The sequence below is a fragment of the Homo sapiens genome, chromosome 11 (genome assembly GCF_000001405.40).
Source record: "Homo sapiens chromosome 11, GRCh38.p14 Primary Assembly".
Taxonomy (NCBI): domain Eukaryota; kingdom Metazoa; phylum Chordata; class Mammalia; order Primates; family Hominidae; genus Homo; species Homo sapiens.
This window is the reverse complement of record NC_000011.10, coordinates 3,041,430-3,067,682: the sequence shown is the minus strand read 5'-3', so window position 1 is coordinate 3,067,682 and position 26,253 is coordinate 3,041,430. Positions and strand designations below refer to the sequence as shown.

General features: G+C 52.5%; 1 protein-coding gene, 1 long non-coding RNA gene and 1 pseudogene across 16 annotated transcripts in view, besides 5 other annotated features; 2 read left to right on the top strand and 1 right to left on the bottom strand.

Annotated features, from left to right (window-relative positions):
* Window positions 1-755: 755 nt before the first annotated feature.
* On the bottom strand, window positions 756-9,059 carry LOC124902615 (uncharacterized). The gene is made up of 2 exons (XR_007062555.1): window positions 8,665-9,059; window positions 756-5,364 (listed from the first exon to the last, which is right to left on the bottom strand). It is a non-coding gene; the product is annotated as an uncharacterized LOC124902615 (long non-coding RNA).
* Window positions 4,501-5,127: an enhancer, noted in NCBI's record as "H3K4me1 hESC enhancer chr11:3083786-3084412 (GRCh37/hg19 assembly coordinates)". NCBI's record gives its function as "activates a minimal SCP1, AML or CMV promoter by ChIP-STARR-seq in primed H9 embryonic stem cells {active_cell/tissue: H9 hESC(primed)}" and the evidence as "EXISTENCE:reporter gene assay evidence [ECO:0000049][PMID:30033119]".
* Window positions 10,074-10,606: an enhancer, noted in NCBI's record as "NANOG-H3K27ac-H3K4me1 hESC enhancer chr11:3078307-3078839 (GRCh37/hg19 assembly coordinates)". NCBI's record gives its function as "activates a minimal SCP1, AML or CMV promoter by ChIP-STARR-seq in naive H9 embryonic stem cells {active_cell/tissue: H9 hESC(naive)}" and the evidence as "EXISTENCE:reporter gene assay evidence [ECO:0000049][PMID:30033119]".
* The window catches only part of CARS1 (cysteinyl-tRNA synthetase 1), a 56,495-nt gene continuing 40,501 nt past the window's right edge, over window positions 10,260-26,253 (top strand). For 7 of the 15 annotated variants that reach the window (NR_036542.2, NR_165428.1, NM_001014437.3 and 4 more), the window contains exons 1-3: window positions 10,260-10,340; window positions 19,682-19,930; window positions 25,427-25,518. Coding sequence is in view for 11 of the 15 variants with exons in the window: in NM_001014437.3 (NP_001014437.1) it covers window positions 10,316-10,340; window positions 19,682-19,930; window positions 25,427-25,518 (366 nt within the window). In the remaining 4 variants the exon portion in view is untranslated. Of the gene's footprint in view, window positions 10,341-12,643; window positions 12,807-19,681; window positions 19,931-25,426; window positions 25,519-26,253 lie in introns of all 15 variants that reach the window. The other 8 variants (NR_165430.1, NR_165429.1, NM_001751.6 and 5 more) reach the window with 2 other exon arrangements.
* Window positions 17,513-17,582: an enhancer, noted in NCBI's record as "active region_4307". NCBI's record gives its function as "activates an Ori minimal core promoter by ATAC-STARR-seq in GM12878 lymphoblastoid cells {active_cell/tissue: GM12878}" and the evidence as "EXISTENCE:reporter gene assay evidence [ECO:0000049][PMID:35858748]".
* Window positions 19,162-19,324, top strand: RNU1-91P (RNA, U1 small nuclear 91, pseudogene; annotated as a pseudogene).
* Window positions 23,351-24,286: an enhancer, noted in NCBI's record as "H3K27ac-H3K4me1 hESC enhancer chr11:3064627-3065562 (GRCh37/hg19 assembly coordinates)". NCBI's record gives its function as "activates a minimal SCP1, AML or CMV promoter by ChIP-STARR-seq in primed H9 embryonic stem cells {active_cell/tissue: H9 hESC(primed)}" and the evidence as "EXISTENCE:reporter gene assay evidence [ECO:0000049][PMID:30033119]".
* Window positions 24,287-25,222: an enhancer, noted in NCBI's record as "H3K27ac-H3K4me1 hESC enhancer chr11:3063691-3064626 (GRCh37/hg19 assembly coordinates)". NCBI's record gives its function as "activates a minimal SCP1, AML or CMV promoter by ChIP-STARR-seq in primed H9 embryonic stem cells {active_cell/tissue: H9 hESC(primed)}" and the evidence as "EXISTENCE:reporter gene assay evidence [ECO:0000049][PMID:30033119]".

Genomic DNA, 26,253 nt, shown 5'->3' with positions numbered 1-26,253 from the left:
AGGCAAGGGTCCAGGCTCAGTGTTAGCTGACAGGTGGCCTTTATGGGAGGTGGGACAGAGATGGGGACCAGCCTGCTCCTGCACAGGCCTGACCTGGGGACTGTACTGCCAGCCATCCTTGTGTTTGGTTTGGACAGGGTTTTTGTTTTGATCATGATGGTGTATGCCTACGGGCTTAAAGACTCATGGCTGGGCATGGTGGCTCACACCTGTAATCCCAGCACTTTGGGAGGCCGAGGTGGGCAGATCACCTGAGCTCAGGAGTTTGAGACCAGCCTGGCCAACATGGTGAAACCCCGTCTGTACTAAAAATACAAAAATTACCCAGGCGTGGTGGCGGGTGCCTGTAATCCCAGCTACTTAGGAGGCTGAGGCAGGAGAATCGCTTGAACAAAAATCAGCTGGGCGTGATGGTGGGTGCCTCCAGCTGCTCAGGAGGCTAAGGCAGGAGAATCACTTGAACCTGAGAGGTGGAGATTGCAGTGAGCCGAGATTGAGCCACTGCACTCCAGCCTGGGTGACAGAGCAAGATTCCATCTTGAAAAAGAAAGAAAGGAGGAAAGAAATAACACAGTCCCAACAGTCCCATTTAAAATAGCCACACAGAAAAAAAAAAAAAAAAGAAAAGAAAAGAAAAAGAAAACCTACTAATACATCTAACCAATGAGGTCAAAGATCTCTATAAGAAGAATTATAAAACACCGCTGAAAGAAATCATGGATGACACAAACAAATGGAAAAACATTCCATGCTCATGGATAGGAAGAATCAATATATTTTGTTTTGTTTTGTTTTGTTTTGAGACAGAGTTTCACTCTTGTTGCCCAGGCTGGAGTGCAATGGTGCAATCTCTGCTTACCGCAACCTCTGCTTCCCGGGCTCAAGTGATTCTCCTGCCTCAGCTTCCTGAGTAGCTGGGATTACAGGCATGCACCACCACGCCCGGCTAATTTTTGTATTTTTAGTAGAGACAGGGTTTCTCCATGTTTGTCAGCCTGGTCTTGAACTCCCAACCTCAGGTGATCCACCCGCCTCAGCCTCCCAAAGTGCTGGGATTATGGGCATGAGCCACTGCCCCTAGCCTCAATATCGTTAAAATGACCATACTGCCCAAAGCAGTTTATAGATTCAACACTATTCCTCTCAAATTACTAACATTGGTTGGGCGTGATGACTCACACTGTAATCCCAGCACTTTGGGAGGCCAAGGCCTATGGATTGCTTGAGCCTAGGAGTTTGAGACCAGCCTGGGTAATATGGCAAAAACCCCCATCTCTCCCAAAAAGACAAAAATTAGCCCAGTGTGGTGGCATGCACCTGTAATCCCAGCTACTCAAGAGGCTGAGGTGGGAGGATCACTGGAGCCTGGGAGATCAGGGCTGCAGTGAGCTGTGATCATGCCACTGTACTCAAGCCTAGGTGACAGTGAGACCCTGTCTCAAAAAAATAAAAAAAATTAAAAAATTAAAAATAAACAAATTACCAACATCATTTTTCACAGAACTAGAAAAACTTCTAAAATTCATATGTAACCAAAAAGGAGCCCAAATTGCCAAAGTAATCCTAAGCAAAAAGAACAAAGCCAGAGGCATCACATTACCTCACTTCAAACTATACTATATGGCTACAGTAACCAAAACAGCACGGTACTGGTACAAAAATAGACACATAGACCAACAAACAGAAATAAAGCCACACACCTACAGCCATCTGATCTTTGACAAAGTCAACAAAAATAAGCAATGAGAAAAGTATTCCCTAGTCAATAAACGGTACTGGGATAGCTGGCTAGCCATATGCAGAAGAATGAAACTGGACCCTTGTCTTTCACTATATACAAAAATTAACTCAAGATGGATTAAAGAGTTAAATGTAAGACCTCAAACTATAAGAATGATAGAAGAAAACCTAGGAAACATCATTTTGGACATTAGTCTTGGGAAGGAATTTATGACTAAGTCCTCAAAGGCGATTGCAACAAAAACAAAAATTGACAAGTGGGACCTAATTAGACTAAAGAGCTTCTGCACAGAAAAAGAAACTAGCAGCAGAGTAAACAGAAAACCTACAGAATGGGAAAAAGTATTTGCAAACTATCTGTCCGACCAAGGTCTAATATCCAGACTCCATAGGGAACTTAAACAATTCAACAAGCAACACACAAATAATCCCATTAAAAAGTGGGCAAAAGGCCAGGTGTGGTGGTTCACACCTGTAATCCTAGCACTTTGAGAGGCTGAGGTGGGTGGATCACGAGGTCAAGAGGTTGAGACCATCCTGACCAACATGGTGAAACCCCAGCTCTACTAAAAATGTAAAATTAACCAAGCATGGTGGTGTGTGCCTGCAGTCCCAGCTACTCAGGAGGCTGAGGCGGGAGAATTGCTTGAACCCCAGAGGCGGAGGTTGCAGTGAGCCGAGATCACGCCACTGCACTCCAGCCTGGCGACAGAGCAAGACTCCAGCTCAAAAAAAAAAAGTGGGCAAAATACATGAACAAACATTTCTCAAAAGAAGACATACAAGCAGCCAACAAACATGAAAAAATGCTCAACATCTGATATGATTTGGCTGTGTCCCTACCCAAATCTCATCTTGAATTGTACTCTCATAATTCCCACATGTTGTAAGAGGGACCCAGTGGGAGATAATTTGAATCATGGAGGCAGTTTCCCCCGTACTGTTCTTGTGGTAGGAATAAGTCTCACAAGATCTGACAGTTTTATCAGGGGTTTCTGCTTTAACACCTCATCATTTTCTCTTGCCGCCGCCATGTAAGAAGTGCCTTTTGGGAGGTTGCAGTGAGTGGAGATCGAGCCACTGCACTCCAGCCTGGGCAACAAGAGTGAAACTCCATCTCAAAAAAAAAAAAAAAAAAAAAAGTGCCTTTTGCTTCCCGCCATGATTCTGAGACCTCCCCAGCCATGTGGAACTGTGAGTTCAATTAAACCTCGTTTTCTTCCCAGTCTTGGGTATGTCTTTATCAGCAGCATGAAAATGGACTAATACAGAAATCGGTACCAGTAGAGTGGGGCATTGCTGAAAAGATACCCAAAAATGTGGAAGTGACTTTGGAACTGGGTAACAGGCAGAGACGGAAACAGTTTGGAGGGCTTAGAAGGAGACAGGAAAATGTGGGAAAGTTTGGAACCTCCTAGAGACTTGTTGAATGGCTTTGACCAAAAGCCCAAGAGCAATATGGACAATAAGGTCCAGGCTGAGGTGGTCTCAGATGAAGATAAGGAACTTGCTGGGAACTGGAGCAAAGGTGATTCTTGTTATATTTTAGCAGAGACCGGCAGCATTTTGCCCCTGTCCTAGAGATTTGTGGAACTTTGAATTTGACAGAGATGACTTAGGGTATCTGGCAGAAGAAATTTCTAAGCAGCAAAACATTCGAGAGGTGACTTGGGTACTGTTAAAGGCATTCAGTTTTATAAGGGAAGCAGAGCGTAAAAGTTTGGAAAATTTGCAGTCTGACAATATGATAGAAAAGAAAAACCCATTTTCTGAGGAGAAATTCAAGCCAGCTGCAGAAATTTGCATGAGTAACGAGAGCGGAATGTTAATCCCCAAGACAATGGGGTATGTCTCCAGGGCATGTCAAAGGTCTTCGCAGGCCTGGAGGCCTAGGAGAAAATGGTTTTGTGGGCTGGTCCCAGGGTCCCCGTGCTGTTTGCAGCCTAGGGACTTGGTGCCCTTCGTCCCAGCTGCTCCAGTCGCGGCTGAAAGGGGCACTTCTTACATGGTGGCAGCAAGAGAAAATAAGGAAGATGCAAAAGTGGAAACCCCTGATAAAACCATCAGATCTCATGAGACTTATTCACTACCACGAGAACAGTATGGGGGAAAACACCCCCATGATTCAAATTATCTCCCACCGGGTCTCCCCCACAACACGTGGGAGTTATAGGAGGACAATTCAAGATGAGATCTGGGTGGGGACATACCCAAACCATATCATTCCACTCCTGACACCTCCAAATCTCAAGTCCTCACATTTCAAAACCAATCATACCTTCCCTGGAGTCTCCCAAAGTCTTAGCTCATTTCAGCATTAACCCAAAAGTCCACAGTCCAAAGTCTCATCTGAGACAAGGCAAGTCCCTTCCGCCTATGAGCCTGTAAAATCAAAAGCAAGCTCGTTACTTCCTAGATACAATGGGGGTACAGGTATTGGGTAAATACAGCTGTTTCAAATGGGAGAGATTGGCCAAAACAAAGGGGTTACAGGGCCCATGCAAGTCCAAAATCCAGAGGGGGAGTCAAATTTTAAAGTTCCAAAACGATCTCTTTTGACTCCAGGTCTCACATCCAGGCCACGCAGATGCAAGAGGTGGGTTCCCATGGTCTTGGGCAGCTCTGACCCTGTGGCTTTTCAGGGTACAACCTCCCTCCTGGCTGCTTTCACAGCAGCTGGCGTTGAGTGTCTCCACTCACTGCAGCCTTGACCGCTGGGCTTAAGCGATCCTCCTGCCTCAGCCTCCCAAGCAGATGTCCACGACAGAGAAAGGGCTGTAAACAGCTGTGAGTTCCCACAGCGGCACACTGCACAGCTGTGAGAGAGGACTGGGGGTCCCTGCACAACATGAGGGGTCCCACAGAGGGGAGGGCATGCCACAGGATGGTATGCAGAGCATGGTCCTCTTGATGTCGGCTCATGGACATGTGCTGTTATACACGTCTGGTCCAGGGACGTTCAAGAGGGTGGTGTAATTATAGACAGAAGACGAAGGCTGACCTGGGACGCGAGCTGTGCGCCATGATGTTCCTGGTATCAAGCCGGGAGAGACTGGAGCTACTTGAGCCAGGGAGGTCCTCGGGGCAATTGGGGGGTTCCAGGCTGGGCACTAACGAAGCCCACCCCCGCCCCGTGTTCTCCCAGATGTTCAGCAATGGGTTGACAAGTTTTTCAAATGTAAGTAGGATTTCTTGGTTATGAATTAAAAGCATTTTCATTCCTTCGCAGAAGTCATGGTCCCAGTTAATAGAAATTCATTTCATGTCTCTTCTTTTTGCTTTCAGAAGAGGCAAATGAGCCTGGCAGCCCTGTCAGGACCATGCTGGCGTTTGGGCACATCCTCCTGGAAATGCCTGACGGTGTCTCAGGGCCCTGGCACAGAGCTGGGCATTTAGACCTTTGCATGAGCAGCAGCAAAGTCCCCAAAACTTCCAGGAGTGGGTGTGGGGCAGCCCCAGGCCTTCCTGCCTGCACTCCCAGTTTTAGCCTGCGTCATGGTGTCTGCATTCACCTTATTGCAGCCCCAGGTGTCTGTGCTGGAAGACTGAAATTCTGGTTGTTTAAACGGCTGAGTGGAAACTGAGGCACAGAGAGGAAAAGGACTTCACACAAGCGTCCCCAAGCTGCAGTAACAAATGACAACAAACTGGGGTGTTCAAACAATCGGGATTTACACACCCACCATGCACCCACACAATTAAACATTAAAAACAGAAACAATACAAATTCACACATCTACCATGTAGATTCCCACACAATTAAACACTAAAACTAAAAACAGAAACAATCGGGATTTACATACCCACCATGCACCCACACAATTAAACATTAAAAACAGAAACAATACAAATTCACACATCTACCATGTAGATTCCCACACAATTAAACACTAAAACTAAAAACAGAAACAATCGGGATTTACACACCCACCAAGCGCCCACAACAATTAAACATTAAAAATAAAAGCAGGCTGGGCGCGTTGGCTCACGCCTCCAATCCCAGCACTTTGGGAGGCTGAGGCAGGCAGATCACCTGATGTGAGGAGTTCGAGACCAGCCTGGCCAACATGGTGAAACCCCGTCTCTACTACAAATATAAAAATTATTACGTGGCTGGGTGTGGTGGTGCACGTCTGTAGTCCCAGCTACTCGGGAGGCTGAGGCAGGAGGATCACTTATACCCAGGAGGCAGAGGTCGCAGTGAGCTGAGATTGCACCACTGCACTCCAGCCTGGGTGAGGGAGCGAGACTCTGTCTCAAAAATAATAATAATAATTTTTAAAAACAAATAGGAATTTACATGCCTACCATATACCCACAACAGTTAAACATTAAAAACAAAAACAGAAACAATAGGGATTGATTCTTTCACAGCTCCAGAGGCCAGAAGTTCCAAACCAAGGCGTCCGCAGGGTGGGTTCCTTCAGAGGCTCTCCAGGAGGTCCTTCCTTGCCTCTCTCCTGGCTTCTGGTGGCCACCGGCCATCCTTGGCTTGTGCTACATCACTCCAATTGCTTCCCCCTTCACACCTATCTCTGTATCTCTGAATCTCTCTCTCATAAAGACACTAGGCATTGGATTAGGACCCATTCTAATCCAGGATGACCTCATTTTAACTTGATTATATCTGCAAGGACGCCTTTTTCAAATAAAGCCAGCCAGGTCCAGTGGCTCACGCCTGTAATCCTCTCACTTTGGGAGGCCAGGGCGGGAGGATCACTTGAGCCCTGGAGTTCAAGACCAGCCTGGGCAACATAATGAAACCCCATCTCTACAAAAAATATAAAAAATTAGCCACGTATGGTGGTGCACATCTGTGGTCCCAGCTACTCAGGAGGCTGAGGTGGGAGGATCACTTGAGCCCACGAGGTTGAGGCAGCAGTGAGCTGTGATTGCACCACTGCACTCCAGCCAGGGTGACAGAGCGAGACCCTGCTTTAAAAAAAAATAAAATAATAAATGAATAAAAATCAAGTCACAGTCGCAGGTACCAGGGGTTAGAACATGGGCATAATCATTTTGGGGGGACCACAGCTCAACCCACAACAGGCTTGTCTTGGGACCCCCCCGGGAGTTGGCAGCAGAGCTGGGAGCTCACCTGAGTGTATTCGTCTCTAACGCTGCGCTACCCTGGCTTGCAGGCCATGTGACATTTCTTTCCCTAAAAGTGGTTTGGGTAGGGCCTGAGCTGCTGGCTGTGCCAGCAAAGAAATCACTCTGCTTTAGTCACCTCAAAGCAGTGGGCCCAGCGACACCCTGCTGCCCATGGACACTGAGGGGGACTGTCCATCCTCTGGCATGGAAAGAGCAGCGTTCTTGGAGAACTTGGCCTTGGCCCTTAGGAGACTCAAGGGAGAGCCCTGCACGGTGGCCACTGGTGGCCGAGGAAAGTCCAGCTGCCCGGGGAAGGTGCTGTTCACTCACCTGCTGCCCATGGCCCAGGGCCAGACCAAGGCATCAGCCCCTCAGCCATCCAGAACAGGCCAGTGAAGCTTCCAGGATGGGTCTGCACTTGCGGAATATTTAGTAGGCAGGGTTCTGTGTGATGTCCTTACCCTACGTGCTCTTGTGAAATCCTCATTATCAGTTTGCTGGGGCTGCCAGGCTTGGGGGCTTCAACAAGGATTTATTGTCTCACAGTTCTGGAGGCTGGAAGTCTCAGGTCAGGGCATCAGCAGGGTGGGCTCCTTCTGGGGCTGTGAGGGAGAATCTGTCCCAGGCTGTCCCCTGACTTCTGGTGATTTGCTGACAATGTTTGGTGCCCTTTGGCTTGTGAAGCATCGCCCCAGTTTCTGCCTTTATCTTAACATGGCACCCTCCCTGCTTGTCAGTGTCCAAATTTCCTCCACTTAAACATTTTAATTAATTGGCTGGGCATGGTGGCTCACGCCTGTAATCCCAGCACTTTGGGAGGCCGAGGCGGGCGGATCATCTGAGGTCGGGAATTCGAGACCAGCCTGGCCAACATGGAGAAACCCGTCTCTACTAAAAATACAAAATTAGCCGGGCATGGTGGCACATGCCTGTAATCCCACCTATTCGGGAGGCTGAGGCAGGAGAATCTCTTGAACCTGGGACACTGAGGTTGCGGTGAGCCAAGATGGCACCATTGCATTCTAGCCTGGGCAACAAGAGTGAAACTCCGTCTCAAAAAATTTTTTTAAATTAATTTATATATGTGTATTTATTTATTCATTTATTTATTTTAGAGACAGGGTCTCACTCTGCACCCAGGCTGGCATGCAGTGGCACAATCATAGCTCACTGCAACCTGAAACTCTGGGGCTCAAGCCATCCTCCCTCTTCAGCCTCCCAGAGAGCTGGGATTACAGGTGTGAGCCACCATGCCCAGCTGAAATTTTCCCTTTTTACAAGGATATCAGTTATACTGGATTAACGTCCCCCCTAATGACCTCATCTTATGACTTTATCATCTGCAAAGACCCTATTTCCAAATAAGGTCACATTCACAGGTCCTGGTGGTTATAGGATTTCCACATCTTTTGGGAGAGACACAATGCAACCCATAACAACCTGTAACCCAATGTGCTGTCCCAAAGAACTACAACACCAGGGGGATGCTGAGGTTCAGAGAGTGTCCTTGCCCTGGTGGTAGGGCTGGGACGCAGCAGGACTGGGGAGGCGGGACCCACTGCTGCTAGACACTGCAGCACTCTTAGACACAGCTCGGCCACCTGAGCAGGTGATCATTTCCCAGTTCCGCTCTGCAGACCCTTTTTTTTTTTCCCAGTAGAGATGAAGTTTCACTATGTTGGCCAGGCTGGTTTTGCACTCCTGACCTCAAATGACCTGGCCGCCTTGGTCTCCCAAAGTGCTGGGATTACAGGCGTGAGCCACAGTGCCCGGCCCCACTTTGCAGATTTAAAAACAAGACATCTGGAAGCTCAGAGAAGTTAAACTCACCCCAGGTCTTACAGCCAAACTCTGGCTTGCCTGACCTGATGTCAGGAGGCTTTCTTAGTGCAAGAAAGGAAGGGCAGGGCAAGCCTTAGCCGAATGTTTATCTCTAAGAGGCTTCTGACTCTCCTGGGCGCCTCCGGTTCCTTCTCCCAGGAAGGCATGTGGCCGAGCTGGGCTTGGGTGACTCATGGTCCTAGAGTGATGAGTGAGAAACAGGCACTGTGAGAGTCATGGTAGGACCTGGCCAGAACTTCGTCCCCTAAGTCCTGGACTTGGTCCCTCCTTTGGGATTAGTTGGGGTCTCACAGAGCCTCCCACATCCTGGGCAAGTTACAGCACATGCTACAGGATCTTTGCAGAAATGTAAACAAACTCTTTCTTCTTTTTTTTTTCCAGCCACCAGTAGAATTTAGAATTTATTTATTTATTATTTTATTTATTTATTTATTTATTTATTTATTTGAGACGGAGTCTCACTCTGTTGCCAGGCTGGAGTGCAATGGCGCAATCTCGGCTCATTGCAACCTCCACCTCCCTGGTTCAAGCGATTCTCCTGCCTCAGCCTCCTGAGTAGCTGGGACTACAGGCAAGCGCCACCATGTCCAGCTAATTTTTGCATTTTTAGCAGAGACAGGGTTTCACCATGTTGGCCAGGATGGTCTCGATCTCTTGCCCTCATAATCCGCCCACCTCGGCCTCCCAAAGTGCTGGGATTACAGGTGTGAGCCACCGTGCCCGGCCTTAGAATTTATTATGAAATTAGACATGAGGTTCCAAAAAGTAACTAGAAGATTTTTTACTTTTTATTTTTTGAGAAAGGGTCTCACTCTGTCGCCTAGGCTGGAATGCAGTGGCACAGTCGTAGCTCACTGCAGCTTCAAACTCCTGGACTCAAATGATCCTCCTGCCTTGTCCTTTCAAGGTGCTGGGATTACAGGCATGAGCCACTAATCCTGGCTAATAATTTTTCTTGACATATTAAAATTCTGTTTCTTAAATAGCATTTCCTCTCATTTTGGATGGGTGCACGAACCTTGGGTGGGATATCCTTGGGAGGTGACATCATGCACACAGAAGGCAGGAGCCCTAAGGGGGTTGGGGATGGCTCCAGAATGGGGTCTGAGAAGGAGATGGAGAAGCCTGTTCACGCAACACTTCATAGTGGCTTGCTTTCCGCAGGGTCATTGGCAGGGCGGTCCCTAGGCCTGGAGCGCTCTTCCCGCCCATCCCCAGGCCCTGCTCCAGGTCGGCCTCCTGGGAACCATCCCGTCTCGCCAGCACACCCTGTCCCGAGGCCGCCTCTGACCTCCAGGCTGGGCCTGGTCCCCACGGCGCTTAGCGCAATCATGACTTAAACACCTATTACAGGACGCTCAGTCTTTAGTGCTTGTCTCCCCGCGGCTGGGCTGACTACTCCCAGCACGGCCACTGAACGCTTGGCCGCGCGATGCTCCGGAGCGCGGGTCGCCATTGGGTTGAACTACAGCTCCCAGCATGCTCCGGGCCGGCGACATCCGGAGCCCCTGGTAGTTGCCTAGCGACCGGGCGTGTCCCGGAAGACGGGCCCGGCGTGGGGCGCGACTTCCGGGGCGGCGGTTGCATCAGATTCTAGGAAGTGTCTGTAGCCGCAGCTGCGGGTCCGGGATTCCCAGCCATGGCAGATTCCTCCGGGCAGCAGGGTGAGCGGCGCGGCCGGGCCAGGCTGAGGGCGGCTGGGGGCCTGACTGGGCGCTGGGTGCTCGGCTCGAAGGGCAGCGAGTCCTTATGTCTGAGGGGCCCGGGTGCATGGGTTCTGAGGGGCAGCTGTGTCCGTGGTCTGAGGGGCGGCAGTGCCCGAGGTCTGAGGGGTGTCAGTGCGCGGGGTCTGAGGGACGGCACGTCCTTGGGTCCGAGGGGCGGGGGTGCTCGGGGTCTGAGGGGTGTCAGTGCCCGGGGTCTGAGGGACGGCGGGTCCTGAGGTTCGAGGGGTGGCACGTCCTAGGATCCGAAGGACAACGGGTGCCCGGCTCCGAGGGACGGCCACTGGGACCCCTGGGACTCCTGCGTGAGGGTCTGCCAGACCCGTGGCTGGAGCACAGACCCCGCGGGGACCCGAGCCCGAGCGGGGCGCTGCCCAGACCACCCAGCCTCAGTTTCCTCACTTGGTTCCTGCCGAGGTCCCCTTGCATCCTCACCCCGGGAGGTGGCCCTACATCAAACAGCCTTTCCCCAGCCGGTGCCTGGGCGGGCCCTCGCTCCCTCTTGCCCCAGCTGGCCTTTAGGGGGGAGACAAAGGCCCAAGGGTTGTTTTGGTTTTCTGCCCAGACCTGGCAGCTTCCGGGAGGTGGGCGGAGGGCACCTGAGGTTGGTATTTAGGGAAATGGGGCAGAGGACGCCAGGGGTACGCGTACACACAGTAAAAGGGCTTGGGGCTTTACGAAGGCTTTCATCTCCAGTTCCGCAGGCAGTCCACTGCAAGCTGATTGTCAGAGCATTACTGCCCCATTTTATTGCCAACCCGGGAGGTTCCCCAGGGACACAGCTGTGTCAGCTCCCCCAGTCACTCATGTCACCAGCGGGTAGACCTTGAGAGACCAGTGGGTTCTTCTCTCACTGTCCCTCCAGCAAGATTTTAGGTGCTGGAAAGGCAAGAGACTGAATCAGAAAGCCCAGATTCCTAACAGTCTGGAGCAGCCTTTCCAAAGGAAACATTCTCAGTATCTAGTTTTTAATTCTTTTGGCTGGCAAAAATTAGATGCAAGTTCTTGTAAGACACCTCCAGCCCCCACCCTCAGTTTAGATCGTACCAAGATTTCCTTAGCATCTGGTGGTGCCCTTTGCCCCTGAGGGTTTATTGGGTTATAGATAGGTAGTTATGACAACCCGAGTAATCTGGCGGCATGGGGACACCCAGATGACAGGGCTACACTCTTGTGCCAAGTGGCAGGAGGTGGTCACCTTCCAGGCACGCCGCCTACCACCCTACCTGTGTGCCTGGATTCCAGCACCATCTCCACCCGTCCCAGAGCCAAGCGGCCCTCAGAAGTCACCCAGATTCCTGTAAAACAGCATCATAGTTAACAGCCCCAACTCTGGAACCACCCTGGAAGGGCCAGGGTTCCAACTCTGCCTCCCGCCCCACAGCAAACCATGCGTAATGGCTCCTACCTTGGAGCATGGAGTGTAAATGAATTAATAGATGGGAAGGACGTAGAACAGTGCCTGGCACTCAATTAAGTGCTGTGTCTGTGCTGAAAGTTAGGGCCTGTTTGTTTTCAAACTAAAAATGTGTTTTTGTTCATTTGTGAACGTAAATGACGTATTAGTAGTGTTTTGTATCTTGTTTTTAAAAATAGCTTTAGAATTTTAGGTTTTCAGAGCCTTGTAAGAATTGCCTTCTTTTTGGAGCTTGCCATATAGGTTGGGATTGCCCTCTCCGGGCTGTCAGGGCAGCAGGCAGATTGCCCAGTCCTCAGCCTGCGCACAGCATCTCCAGCCAGTGTTCTTCTGCCCCAGGGCATGGCCCACCTGCCTTTACTATCGCCTCCTCCCATCACACACACACTCTCAAAGATGAGAACAGGAAATAAAATCCAATCGTAGGCCAGGCGCAGTGGCTCACACCTGTAATCCCAGCACTTTGGGAGGCCGAGGCAGGCAGATCACGAGGTCAGGAGATCGAGACCATGGTGAAACCCTGTCTCTACTAAAAATAAAAAAAAAATTAGCCGGGCGCGGTGGCGGGCGCCTGACTACTCGGAGGCTGAGGCCGGAGAATGATGTGAACCCAGGAGGCGGAGCTTGCAGTGAGTCGAGATTGCGCCACTGCACTCCAGCCTGGGCGACAGAGCGAGACTCCGTCTCAAAAAAAAAAAAATCCAATCGTAAATGCTTTCAGTGACCATCTTCCCAGATTTTTCAAGGAGGCCATCATTTTTGTACCATCTTCCCTAAGTTGACTCAGAAGGTCTATTTCTCTTTCCTGATCTCACTGGGTGTACAGCTTTTCCTTTGCGGTCTTGAAGGTGCATAGGCTTGGTGCCTGTCCAAGAGCCTGATTATTTCAGAAGGATGAGTTTCATTTCTGAGGTTTCTGGGGTAGATGGAGCCTACCTCAGGGCCTTTCCGCACAGACTTGGGATACCACTTGGTCGGCTGCTCATCAGGTCAGACTTATAGTTTAATTTTTATACAGTTTAATTCAAGGGTCTTCATAATAACACAGCCAGCATTTTTTCAGCATGAGTCTGTGCCAGGCACTGCTCTAAATGCTTTGCATCTGTTATCTCCTGCCACCCTTGGGGGAACCCCTTTGAGGAAGATCCTGCCGGCATCTTGTACAGATGAGAATCCTGAGGTTCAGAGAAGTCAAGCAATCTGTCCACCATCACGACTAGCCAGAGGCACAGCCAGGCTCCCAACCTGGGCAGCCTGACTCAATAGGGACCTTAACTGCTGTGCTGTGCTGCCTTTGATGATTCTCTTCAGACTCACAATAGCTCAACCCAGTGAGTTAAGGCAGACGAGAATAAAGCTGATGCCCTTCGATGTTTTCCCCAGAGCCACATGAAATGTTTGCTCCTCTATGAACTCAGGTACCATGTTTCCGGGTATTTGAAGAGCCTTAGGCAGTACCCTTGGGGTGGAGATTAAGCCATTTCCAGTGTGGGTGCTCTGGGTGGCAATATTGCTGTCTGATCACCCCACAGGCTCATTGTGAGGGATGTTGGATGCCCCTAATAATGAATAACCTCCCTCCCAGTAAGGAGGAAGATGGAGATGCTGTTCTTGGGGGTGAGAGAGGATGCCTGGGGGCCACCTTTGTGAACGAGTTGCAGCTGGACCTCCGGGGCTGGTGATCAGGACGGGGAGTGGGAGGGGAAGCCCTCACCTGTGGGAGGAGGCGCTGGTCTCTGGGAGTGGGCAGTGTTGGCTCCTAGTTGGTGAGAGCAGGGGTGCATGCCCCTCTCTCCTCCCCACGATTCATGTCTGGGGGCTTTTTCCGGTCCCCTTTCTGAACACTTCTTGGGCAGGGAGTGGATCACTGGGAAGGACCCAAGAGGAGCAGCTGTAGAGGGTGGGACCAGGGGAACATTTGCAGAAAGGGAGTAACCTGCAGGGTGAGATGTTGCCTGGACACCCACAAGATGAGGACCCTGGTGGGACCTTTGAAGTAGCAGGGTCAGAGGGCAAAGGGTCAGGGTGAGTGAGGGGTGCAGACCCCCACCAAACCGGGGCACTTATTAGGAGCTCAGACCTGCTGTAAAGGGGTCTGCATTTTAGCAAGCTTTCCACCCATGGGGAAGCTGGTTTAAACCTCACTTGCTGGGCCCACCCCAGAGATTCTGATTTGGCAGGTCTCTGGTGAGCCCAAGAATGTGACTTCTCTGGATCCCCCAGGTTCTGCTGCTGAAGGCACACCAGGGCCATGCCTGGAGTGGACCTGGGAGAGCCTCAAGGGAACGCAGGAAGAGAAACAGGGCAGCCGGGAGAGGTTTAAATGCTTACAGGAGGCCAGGCATGGTGGCTCACGTCTGTAATCCCAGCACTTTGGGAGGCCGAGGTGGGTGGATCACCTGAGGTCAGGAGTTCTAGACCAGCCTGGCCAATATGTAGAAACCCCGTCTCTACTAAAAATACAAAAATTAGCTGGGCATGGTGGCGGGCACCTGTAATCCCAGCTACTCGGGAGGCTGAGGCAGGAGAATCGCTTGAACCCGGGAGGCAGAGTTTGCAGTGAGCCGAGATCATGCCACTGCACTCCAGCCTGGGTGACGAGCGAGACTCCGTCTCAAAAAATAAAATAAAATAAAATAAAATAAAAATAAATAAAAAATAAATGCTGATAGGAAAGAGCCAGAGAGAGGGAGAGGTCGCACTGCCACAGTTGTTTGACGTGTCAGGGTTGTTGTTCATTTGGTGTGGCTTTGTTTTGGTATCTGTGCTGAGCAATTGCTTGGTACTTGCATGTGATTTCAATAAATGTTCTGTAGAGACTCCACCTTTGTAGCCGGTGACAACCACCATCCACCTTTGGGACATTCCCATGTCCCTCAATGTGTTGATGAACTGAACTGCAAGGTCATCCGGTGGTGGACATTCCTTCTCATGGGGGCAGAGCAGGAGTTTCGGCACGGAGCGTGCAGGCTCTACGATGAGGGCCAGTGTCGAGGAACAGGTCCCTGGGAGGTTTTCAGTCTGCTCAGAAGTGTTCTCATCTGATCTCAGCATCAGACTGATCCACAGCCTGGCTCAAACCCATGACCACTTGAAAGCTGACCTATTTTTATTTGTTTCCTCGAGACACACTTAAATGCAGCTACCACGATTACCCAAATGACTGTCTGCGTCCATCTCATGGAAGCCTGTCATTCTCCTGTGCTTCCCTGGGCACCAGCACCTTTCTGCTCTGAGAAGATCCTTCCCAAGCATGGTCTTGGTTCCCTTTTGATGAGCCGTCTAGCCTGCTCTAGACGGTACATTTAAGAATTATGTGATCCAAGATCAAGGCAGATTTGGTAATAAACTTTTAAAATAATAAAATTAATTAAATAAAAATGGGTGTGTGAGCCCTAGGAAAACTCCAGGAAATTCTCTGTGTGTAGCATGCGGCTATTACAATAACATTAATAATACCAGAGCGATTATGATAATAATGATGGCAAATGGGGCCCCTGGCTCTGTGCCAGGCAGCTTTTAAACATTTTACAAGTGTCATTTGACTTAATGGCCTGCAGCTTTACAGGGCTGATGTTATGAGCGTGTTTTACCGTGAGGAAATGCCGCCGTGTGTGTGAGTGTAGGTACTCAGCCCTGGAGGGCGTCGGGGCCGCCCCTCAGGTCTCCAGAGAGCGGATACACAGCGGCTTCAGTTCCCAGACTGCTTCCTCAGCGCTCAAAAGCCACTGCAGCCGCCGTTAGGACATTTGATGTTTTTCTCATTTTAAAAATAGCAGATGCTTACTGCAGAAAATGTGAGCAATGAAGAAAAAGAGGGAATTAAAATCACCTGTCACCCCCTCTCATCAACCATCGTCACTGTCAGTGTTCGGGCTGTTGCTGGTGGTCTCTCCATCAGAATCCATTCTGAGTGTGAGAGGCACGTGACTGTCAGCTCGCTGTCTCAGCTGGAAGCCGATGCTGTGTCACTGTTTCTCAGGGTGCTGCTGTTGTCTCTTCTTCCCTCTTGCTGTCGTGGAGTCCAACCCAGGCATGAGCAGTTGCAGAAGACCAAGGCTCAGGGAGGGGACAGGGGAGAGGAATGTGGAGGGTCAGCATTGGGGAACAGCTTTCGAACTGTGGCCTGATCTGTGAGGGGACAAGGCTCACCTTCCAGCTCTGTCCATCCCTCTGGCAAGTTCTCTAATCTTTAGTGAACTTCATTTTCTTTATCATGAAATGGGACCCCTGCTGGCAGCTGCAGAGCTGTTGGAGGGAAATATCCAGCTAAACTAGAAGTCTCCTGGCTGGAAGTTGCTCTGCAAAAGAGTTTGTAGGAGTCTGATATTTATTTAGAGTTAGTTTTCCAGGACCTCACTTTGGGGTGCTTGGAGCTGCCTCTGTGGGTCTGCCTCCGCCTCCGTCCTCCCTGATCTCATCTCCAGCTGGGAGGAGAGCGCATCTCCATGTAAGCAGCCTCCTTCTTCTCAGAGGGAAGCCCCGGCAGTGTCAGTGCTGACACTGGGCCTGTAACTGTGGGGATGGGGCAGGTGAGAGGCCCTCAAGAGCTCCCGGCACCCCCCAGGCGCCTTCAGTGGGGCCAGAGTCCACCCCTGTCTTTCTCTTTCCTTGGACTGTTGGAAGAGCTGAAGTGAAAAGTGACTTGTTCTTATGTCTCTGGTATCTTTGGGCAGCAGGGCTCCTGCTAAGCAAGCCCCTGGGGGCTCAAAGCAGCAGAGGCTGTGGCCGGTTCCCAGCACTGGTCCTTGTGCAGGTGTCTTTCTGAGAAGGGTGCATGAGGCCCAGTGCCACAGGGGAACGCCAGCCCACCACTGGTGGCATGCACTCTGTGGTGCCATTCTGCTGTCCACTCATCTGTGCCCTAGGCAACTTTAGCTGATATCTGGAATGTCACACGCTCAGTTGTAGATGCTGAAGATCGAGCAGTGAATAAGGTAGATGGAGCGGTGGGGCAGATGGTGAAGGAAAGAAATGCGGGCACGTGTTAGACAGGGGTGCTGCGGAGAGAAAGAGCAGCCAGGCTCAGGGTCTAGAGGCGGGCGCCATATGGACAGGGAGTCCTTGAAGACCTGGTGGGGAAGCCGGCACCTAGCAGAGCTGTGAAGGATTAAGGGGCCTGCTGGTATCTGGGGAGCATGCCCCCTAAAAAAAGAGCAGCAGGTGGAGGGGCCATGTGACTAGGGTATTGTGAGTCAGGTGGGGGCCCATGGCCAGCATGAGGACAGGCTTGTGCTGCTGGCGAGGTGGGTGTTGGGGGCAGTAATGTGAACGTGCGCTTTTCAGCAGGGCCGCTGGAGGCCTGTGGCTGTGAGGGGAGAGCCATGCTGGCTACAGGTGGCGGTGTCTGGCTTGCAGGAATCCAGGTGACAAGGGCTGGCTCTCAAGTCCAAAGCTTCTTTTGAGTTAGAGGCCCCGGATCCTCCCGTGGGTTGGCTATGGGTGCTCCTAAGGATAACTTGTAAAGGGGTGTGATTCCAGTTTTGGCTAGGGAGTGTGCCCAGAGCTTTGCTTCTGGGTGCCTGTGGCTGCTTGGAGTGGGTGGCCATCTTATTGGGGTCAGATGGGACAGTGGCTCCGTGCAGTGGGAAGGAAGCAGGGCAAGTTAGAGGGACGCTGCACTCGTCATCCCACCAGCGAGAGTCATCCCAGGAAGCCATTTTAAGCCCTGCATCCATGTTGAGACTTCAGGAAGGCTCTCCCACAGAGTGCCCACCCCTTTACTGCAGAGAAGAGGTGGCTTCAGGACATCTTCTCCGGCAGCCACGGAGGCTGGGCCTTGGGGCATCACGTGGCTCCGTAGGCTCCCTGGCGGGTGAAGAGCTCGGCCCAGTGGGGCATTCTTGCTGCTGCAGCTGTGCACTCCATTCTGACTCATCTTTGCTGACACCACAGCGTTCCGGGAAGTGCCAGTTATTGGCCTGACACGAAGGGCTTTCCCCACACTAAGCAAAGCAGAGAAAGGCATTCGTGTGCAGTTACCCCCGCAACACACTCTGCTCTCTGTTTTCAGAAGCTGTGTGGGCTTGGTTGGGGTGACTCTGGCTCTGTGCCAGGAGTAAACACGGAGATGGGGGACAAAAGGGAATGGGAGAAGGCAGAGAGGGGGACTGTGATGTGCAGGGCATCCACGCCCCATGGCTGTGATGTCGGGCAGCCTGTGCCCAGGAAGGGCAGCTGGCACAGCAAGGGGTGGCCAGACATGTGCATTCCTACCCTGAGTGAACTCTGGGGTGAGAGGGTATCTGTCTGGAAGGAGCAAGCATCGGTCCTTTTCCCACAGTCCTCTCAGCAAACACAATCACTGGTTCAAGGTTTGGATGCACCTGTGCTCATGGGCTCAGGGACCAGACTCCCTCCTCTGGCCAGAAGCCTGGCACCATCTGCCTGGTCTGCCCCCACTTTAGGGACGTGGGCTGTGGACACAGCACCTGGTCCACAACTCCCGTGTCAGAGGTAATTGCAGGGAGATATTCCTTAGAATGGTGAGACAGATTTTATTCCCTAATTCCTGACAGTAGGGGAAGGAGCTGCGTTCCCTGCCAGTTCAGCAGAGGTGACTTTTGGATTTAAAGGGAGTATGATTAGCTGGGCCTGGTGGCATGTGCCTGTAGTCCCAGCTACTCAGGAGGCTTAGGCTGGAGGGTCACTTGAGCCCAGCATTTTGAGGCTGTGATGAGCCTTGATTGCACCACTGCACTCCAGCCTGGGCAGTAGAGTCAGACGCTGTCTCTAAAAAATAAAAATAAATAAATAAATAAATAAATAAAAATAAAAAAGGGAGAATGGAGGAGGAGAAGGAGGGTGAGCAGGGGCTCAAATGAAAAAAGCCATGGAGCTGGTCAGCGTGCATGTGTCAAGGCGGCCTTGTCTACAGCTGGCAGTGGTGAAAGTTAGGGTTCTGCTCCTCCTCCCAATGGTGACATGCGGAACAGTGGCTCTTGGGTCCTTGAGTGACACACCTGAGTGGTGGAGGTGCACGCTTACTGCTTTGAAGGCTCTAAGGAGGGAGGCTGGGGCCTGGGGCCAGGGGCCAGGGGCCAGGTGAGGCTGGCTGGAGCAGCCACATTTTCCTGGCAGCCCTGTGCTTTCTTGGGCTGGTCCTTTGAGGGGGCCCAGTCCTCCTGAGGCTGTGGCCTTGACCTGCAGAAGCCATGCTAGAGTCCAGCTGTCTCTTGGTGCAGGGGTGTAAATGGCACACATTGTCAATGTGGGGTTCTCCTACCCCTCATCCCCCAGCACCCAGAGGGAGAGGGTGCCGCTGCGGCAAAGAGGCTTGAAGTTGGTTTGGTTTGGGGGATTTCTGTTGTGAGTTTTTAAAAATTGAGGTTAAATTCTCGTAACATACTTAGCTGACAGGAGGGATACCATGATCATGTAGGTAGCTTTCCCAAGGCGAGGCTTATCCGTTATACTCCAGATGTGCTGACCCCTATGATTTCCCCAAATGTCAGAAACTGAACTGTGTAATTTGTGATGGTGTGGAACTGTGTTCCTGCTTTCCCTGATAGAAAACATAAATTAAAAATGTAAAAACTAAGTAATTTATATGACATAAAGTGAAAAGTACACAATTCTGTGGTATTTGGCGCATGATGTTGTCATGCAGCCTTCATTTCTGTCTAGTTCCAAAGCATTTTCATCACCCAAGAGGGAACCCATCCATACCTGTCAGGCAGTCACTCCCTCGCCCCCAGTCGAAGCGCTGCCCCTGTGCCTTTGCCTGTTCTGGATGTTTGGCGTCCAGGGAAGGGCTTGAACACCTTTTTCCTTGGTTCTGTGCCATCCCCTAGTCCCTGTCTTTCTGGCGGCCTCTGGGCTGCCCGCCTGCCTGCCTGACACCATGTGCCCTCTGTCTTTGCAGCTCCTGACTACAGGTCCATTCTGAGCATTAGTGACGAGGCAGCCAGGGCACAAGCCCTGAACGAGCACCTCAGCACGCGTAGCTATGTCCAGGGGTACTCACTGTCCCAGGCAGACGTGGACGCGTTCAGGCAGCTCTCGGCCCCGCCCGCTGACCCCCAGCTCTTCCACGTGGCTCGGTGGTTCAGGCACATAGAAGCGCTCCTGGGTAGCCCCTGTGGCAAAGGCCAGCCCTGCAGGCTCCAAGCAAGTGAGTAACAGAGTGGGTTCCCTGGCCATTAGAACCTCTCTCCCAAGGTCAAGGGCTTTCTCCATCACCCTGGTGCTTACCTGGCGTCTGCGGATACCCCAGAGGGAGCCTCGCCCAAGTGTGTCTCGAGCAAGTGGCCTGGATGGGCAGATGCAGCGCTTGCTGGATGGAGGTTGGGATAAAATCACGCCCTATGGAGTTGGTTATTCAGGAGCAGTATGTTCACATCACTGGTGTGGCAGGATTGCCTGAGGTGGTGGGGTGCAGAGCCGCTGCGGCTCTGGGGTTCCACGTAGCATGCCCAGGCCACGGGCCCTAGCCTTGTGATTTTTAGCTAAGGCTGTGCCTGGCTCTGGTTGACTCAGTTCTTTCTCTTTATTTCTTCCATAAGATTGTAGCGTGTCTATCCTCCAGCTTTAGAATTGTTGAATCCTAAAGTATTAATTGGCATTGAACTTTTTTTTTTTTTTTTTTTTGAGATGGAGTCTCGCTCTATCGCCCAGGCTGGAGTGCAGTGGTGCGATCTCCACTCACTGCAAGCTCCACCTCCCGGGTTCATGCCATTCTCCTGCCTCAGCCTCCCGAGTAGCTGGGACTGTAGGCGCCCACCACCATGCCTGGCTAATTTTTTGTATTTTTAGTAGAGACGGGGTTTCACCGTGTTAGCCAGGATGGTCTCGATCTCCCGACCTCGTGATCCACCCGCCTCGGCCTCCCAAAGTGCTGGGATTACAAGTGTGAACCACCGCGCCCGGCCGGCATTGAACTTTTTAAAAATCAGAAATAAGTCATTTTTTCTCTTTGAGATGATGTCTGTCCCGTAGCTCCAGCCTGTTGGTGCTGGTTGTGTCTGTGGAACGTGCCTGTGGTTATTTGCGGGAGATACTCCTGGGATGCCTGCATGGCTTTGTCACTCTGTGGCAAATCTGAGGGGGCTCCATGCCATCATCACTGAAGTATGCCTTTGGGTGGCCCAGCTCCTCCTGTGGCTGTGGGCACTCCTCCACCTTCATGTGGGGGCAGGTTTAGTGCTGTTTTCTGGTGGTCCTGGCTGTAGCTGGCAGCCTTCTGGGGGCTTCTCCAGACTCCGTTGGGGCCTGGGATTGGGAACATGCCCCCCCGCCTCTGCCGTGGGTCAGGCCTCTGCTAGATCACTGTTTTAACCAGGCTGGAGGTGGGGATGTCACATCTCCTGTGGGTCGTGTTTTCTGGATAACTCTGCAGCAGACACTCCTTCCCCAGCGTAGGGCAGAGGCCGTTGCTGTGCAGGTCACGTCCTTCCCCATGTAGCCGTTCCTGCCTGAGCCTCCAGCGCGGTCACCCAAGTGACACCTGTGCTGTGAGGTGCCTTCTCTCCAAGGGCTCGGGTGTCAGGTTGTTCCCCCTGCCATGTGCCATTCCAAGACACAGCCAGAGGGGGGCAGGATTAGGGAGGGTGAAGCGGGCCTGGTACGTCCAGCTCAGCAGTGGCCTGTCCAGGCTTCCCTCATAGGGACTTGTTGAAAGAGCGGCACAGACGCAAGCCTCCATCCACACTGTGAGAGGAAGGAAGGGTTTTGCTCTTGCAAACACTTTTTAACCTACAGAGAGGAAGCAGAGCCACGTTGCTGTGTAACAGAATGGACCATGGATAGCACTAATGGAGTTGCTGTGCCCTCCCCAGGTTCCAAATCCCCTCATCACCCAGGCTGCGCAAGAGGCTGCCAGGGTCTGCTTGTGCCAGGAATGATGGGCATTATGTCAGGCGACCCTCACTCAAGCTTGCTGTACACTGAGCAGGGGCTGAAGGGGGAGGTGGGAGCTGGAGTCTGGGACTGCTAGAGCATCCAGTGACCTCGAGTGGGTCCAAGGCGCCATGGAGTCCAGTGTAGTGTCCTCGCCCATGTCCCTGGGATGACAGTAGCTGTGGATCTCCCTCCATGTAGCTGTGACAATCAGAGCTGCTTCCCCCACTGAGTGGGAACGCCCTCTCTTTCCATGGCTCATACTCCCCAAGCATGCACCTTCCTTGCTGGCACAGTGGGCCATGTGCCCCTCCTCCTGCTCGCCCTTCCACCTCTGTTGGACATCCCAGCAGCATCAGATGTGCCTGTGTCTGGCCCTCAGTGTGCCCGCCTGTTACCAGCTCCTCCCATGTGCCTTCTGTGTCCTGTCTCCAAGATCCTCTCAGACATGGAAAGACTCTGCTTGGCCCGGCGCGGTGGCTCACTCCTGTAATCCCAGCACTTTGGGAGGCCAAGGCGGGCGGATCACGAGGTCAGGAGATTGAGACCATGCTCGCTAAGTCGGTGACAACCTGTCTCTACTAAAAATACAAAAAATTAGCCGGGCGTGATGGCGGGTGCCTATAGTCCCAGCTACTCGGGAGGCTGAGGCAGGAGAATGGCCTGAACCTGGGAGGCGGAGCTTGCAGTGAGCCGAGATCGTGCCACTGTACTCCAGCCTAGGTGACAGAGCGAGACTCCGTCTCGGGGTGGGGGGTTGGAGATAATGGAAAGGCTCTGCTTAACCCCCAGGTCCCTACTCCTGTGAAGCCAGACCCCTTCCTGGTGGATCCCTTCCCTGGATCACCAGCCTCCAGCACGGAGGTCCACTGGATATCAGGACGTTGAACTTGTTGAGCACTTCTCACCCGCAGTGGAGGCTCAGCCCTTCCAGCCCGCCGGCCTCTCCCTACCCCCCGGGAAGGAGTGTCAGCTATACCCTTCACTGAGGAGGGTGTGGGTCTGTCAGACGCCGAGGCCATAGTTTCAGGAACATGAAGGTTTGGTGTTGCTCTCACCCCTCCGATGGAGGACCCTTAACTTCCTGATGAAGGATTTCTCTCCATGAACCCCTTGCTTGGGTCCTATCTGCATCTGGTGTGTTGTAGGCAGACTGCTTGCCACTTCCTGGCTTCCCTCTCCATCATTTTATCTTCAGCCTCCCACATCCCTGTTTCAAAGCCATGTCTCTCATGAGCGGTTCATAGTTGGTCTGTTGTTGGATCACTCAGGTCAGGGTGGGACTCTGGAATCAACGAATGTGTGTTCATTTTTTCCAAAGAAACAAAAGCACAGGCCAGGCGCGGTGGCTCACACCTGTAATCCCAGCACTTTAGGAGGCCAAGGCAGGCAGATCACAAGGTCAGGAGTTTGAGACCAGCCTGGCCAATATGGTGAAACCCCATCCCTACTAAAGATACAAAAATTGGTGGGGCGTGGTGGCAGGTGCCTGTAGTCCTAGCTACTTGGGAGGCTGAGGCAGGATAATCGCTTGAACTCAGGAGGCGGAGGTTGCAGTGAGTTGAGATTGCGCCAGTGCACTTCAGCCAGATTTTATCTAAAAAAAAAAAAGGGGGGCAAGGGTCCTTATGTGATATCTCTCAGTTCTTCCCTTTTGCAAATCTGAATTTGTATATCTGGGCCTGGTAACCCGTTTTCCTGGGGAGCCCATCGCCAGCTGTGTGGAGATAGCAGCCTTAGGGGAGCAGGAATGCTGGCTGTGGCCAGGCTTCTTGGACAAGCTTTCAGTCCTGTGAACCCTGGGCCGTTTCCTCATAGCAGGGTGAGTGTGATGATCCCGTGGCCTCATGGCTGTGTTTCTGGGCAGCGTCTCCAGCTGTCTGAGATGGCAGCAGTGTCCTATTGAAGGAGCTCCAGGGTCTTTGTGAGGGAGGAGAGTGATGGGATCCTAGAGTGGCCGGTTGAATGCCTCCAGGCATTGAGTGAGATTCTCCTTCAAGGGCTTGTGAGGCATTTAAAGTACACTGAGGCCGAGCTGCACTTGGCCTCAATAAGCACATGATGTTTGATTAAGATTGGAGATTGCCTACGCTTTAGAATCTGACCACCTGTGACCACTGGAACTCACCTAGAGTGGGGGCTCCTGCTGAGCACTGGCCCTCTCTCCGTCTCCTGCCCCATCTCCCACCTGCCCACAGTACCCCCACTGCCCAGACACAGTGCAGCCGCCCTCCTTCCTCCCCTTGGCCTGTTAGTCATCAGCGTCTGCCGTCCTGGCTCGTGTGGCCTGAGCTAGAGCCGGGAGGCCAAGAGATGGCTGGTGCCCAGGACCAACTTCCCCGTGATCAGTGTGTGGCAATTTGCTGGCCATGCTGCCAGACCCTCTGGCACAGAAACCAGGGACAGGAGGAGGCAGGATGCGAGCACCCTGGTGAGCTGCCAGGCGGCCTGCTGGGGTGGGCACAGGTCAGTGCTAGGAGTATCCATCTCGTAGGCCTTCCTGGTGCCACTCAGCAGAGACATGTGAAGCCCTTCCCAGGGCCAGGCACCAGCTGGGGTCAGAGGTGCCCAGCAGAGCATAACGCAGAACCTGGACCTGTGGGCGACGACTGTGGAGAAAAGTGGGGATCTGCTGAGGGGGCAGGGCAGGCAGGAGCCGGCTGAGGGCAACGGGAAAGTCACCAGGTACCGTCCTCCACACCTAGCTTTGCCAGATTGACGTTTCAGAGGGTGAATAATCACCCTGTGGCTGCCCCTGGCCCCAGGGACAGAGCTCTGCCCCTTCAGGGATCTCAGATGCAGGTTGTGTAAGGACAGCCTTGTGCCAGGTTGGAAGCCAGGCCTGGAAGCAGTGTGCTCAGAGCAGCCCAGGCGGCCCACAGGCGAGTGGAGGGGAACAACTAGGGAAGTCTGGCCAGGAGGAGGTGACTGCACTGAGGGGCTGGCTGGCAGGGGTCTCTGCCTGGAGGCTGAGAGGAGCTCAGGTTATTTATGAAGGCAGTATAGACCTATGTGGAGCTTGAAGCCCAGTGTCTGGATCAGAGTCTGCTGGGCTGTGGGCCCAGAGCTGGGAGCCAGCCACTCCTGCAGTGTCCGAAGTGATGAGGAGGGGCTGGGCTGGAGCCAGTCTTGCCTGCTGGCCGTGGCCACAGGGGGTCCTTTCTGCTCTGACTCCTGGCTTCTGCTGCCAGGGCTTGGAGGCTTGGAGGTGGCCTCTGTCCCAACAAGAGTCCTCAAAATCCTCAGTTTGTCCAGGTGAGGGATCCTGGGTGGGGGAGGTTCCCAGGGCTGCGGCAGAACAGACCATACCTTGTCAGTGTCAAGCCCTGACTGACCCAGGAGTGCCAGGTGGTGGTGTGCTCACTGCCAGAAAGGGGCCAGTATTTGAAGAGCAGTGGAATGTGCTGGGCACGCTGTGCAGGCATTCCTCCGCCCTCCTGGGGCTCTAAGGGTGTTATTGGGGTATGCTGCCATACAGAATATTAGAAAGCAAAAGAAAGACGCGGTTGTCGGGAGGCAGAGCTTGCAGTGAGCCGAGATCACACCACTGCACTCTGGCCTGGGCGACAGAGCGAGACTCCGTCTAAAAAAAAAAAAAGACGCAGTTGTCTTTGACCTGCGTAATGTTGACCGAGATTCGTGTGGTTTCACATTGTTTAAATTTCATGGAAAACTATGGTCCCGTTGTAAAAACCAAGTCTCCAGGTGAAGAGGCGACTTGCACTTCCTGGTGCTGCCCCTGGACCCTGATCCTGCTCTCTCTGCCTCCCAGGCAAAGGCCGGCGTGTGCAGCCCCAGTGGTCCCCTCCTGCTGGGACCCAGCCATGCAGACTCCACCTTTACAACAGCCTCACCAGGAACAAGGTAAGGAGAACACAGATGCCGTGGCACACGCACACAATGGGGAGGCAGGAGGCAGGACAGCCCATGTGCCTTGTCGCACAACAGACTTCTCTGTTCCTTGTGTTGGGATCTGGAGTTCCATAAATCCAGGTTTAAGATCCTTCAGTCACTTCCATGTTATAGTCTCTGTGGCCCAGAGGCAGAGCTGTCCTCTGAAACCCAGACACGTGAAGTATCATGCCTCATGTGGAAGCCTGCCCATGACTTCTGGGCATGGATCACCCTGGCTTGTCTCTCGGACTCTGCCCAACCATGAGTACTTGAGGTCATCCACAGCCACGCCTTTCAGGAGGACGCGTGGTTGCAGCAGGTGGCACTGTATGAGCCAAGCAGGATGGACAAAACGGCAAACTGGCTGGATGTTGTTGGGAGCACAGCAGGTTTTGAGAAGAAGGCAGGATTGGTTCCTAACAGAATGGGGTTTGCATGGTTTGCTTGGCTCAGGGCATGGCCAGTGACTCCAGTGATTTCAGACCAGGCTCTGGGCGGGGCTGCTTGGATTTCCATCAGGGAGCATGTTTGGCAGACAGAGAGTCAGGTGTGAGGGAGTTCATGGCCTTCCTTGGGAAACTGGTTGAGGATGATGCCCCCAGAGAGGTCTGAGGGTGCTGGGATGTTGGGGAGTGGTGCCAGAGCAGCACCACGATTCAGGGGTCCTGGCCTCCAAGCCGCGCTCCCCCAACAGGGACTGACCCT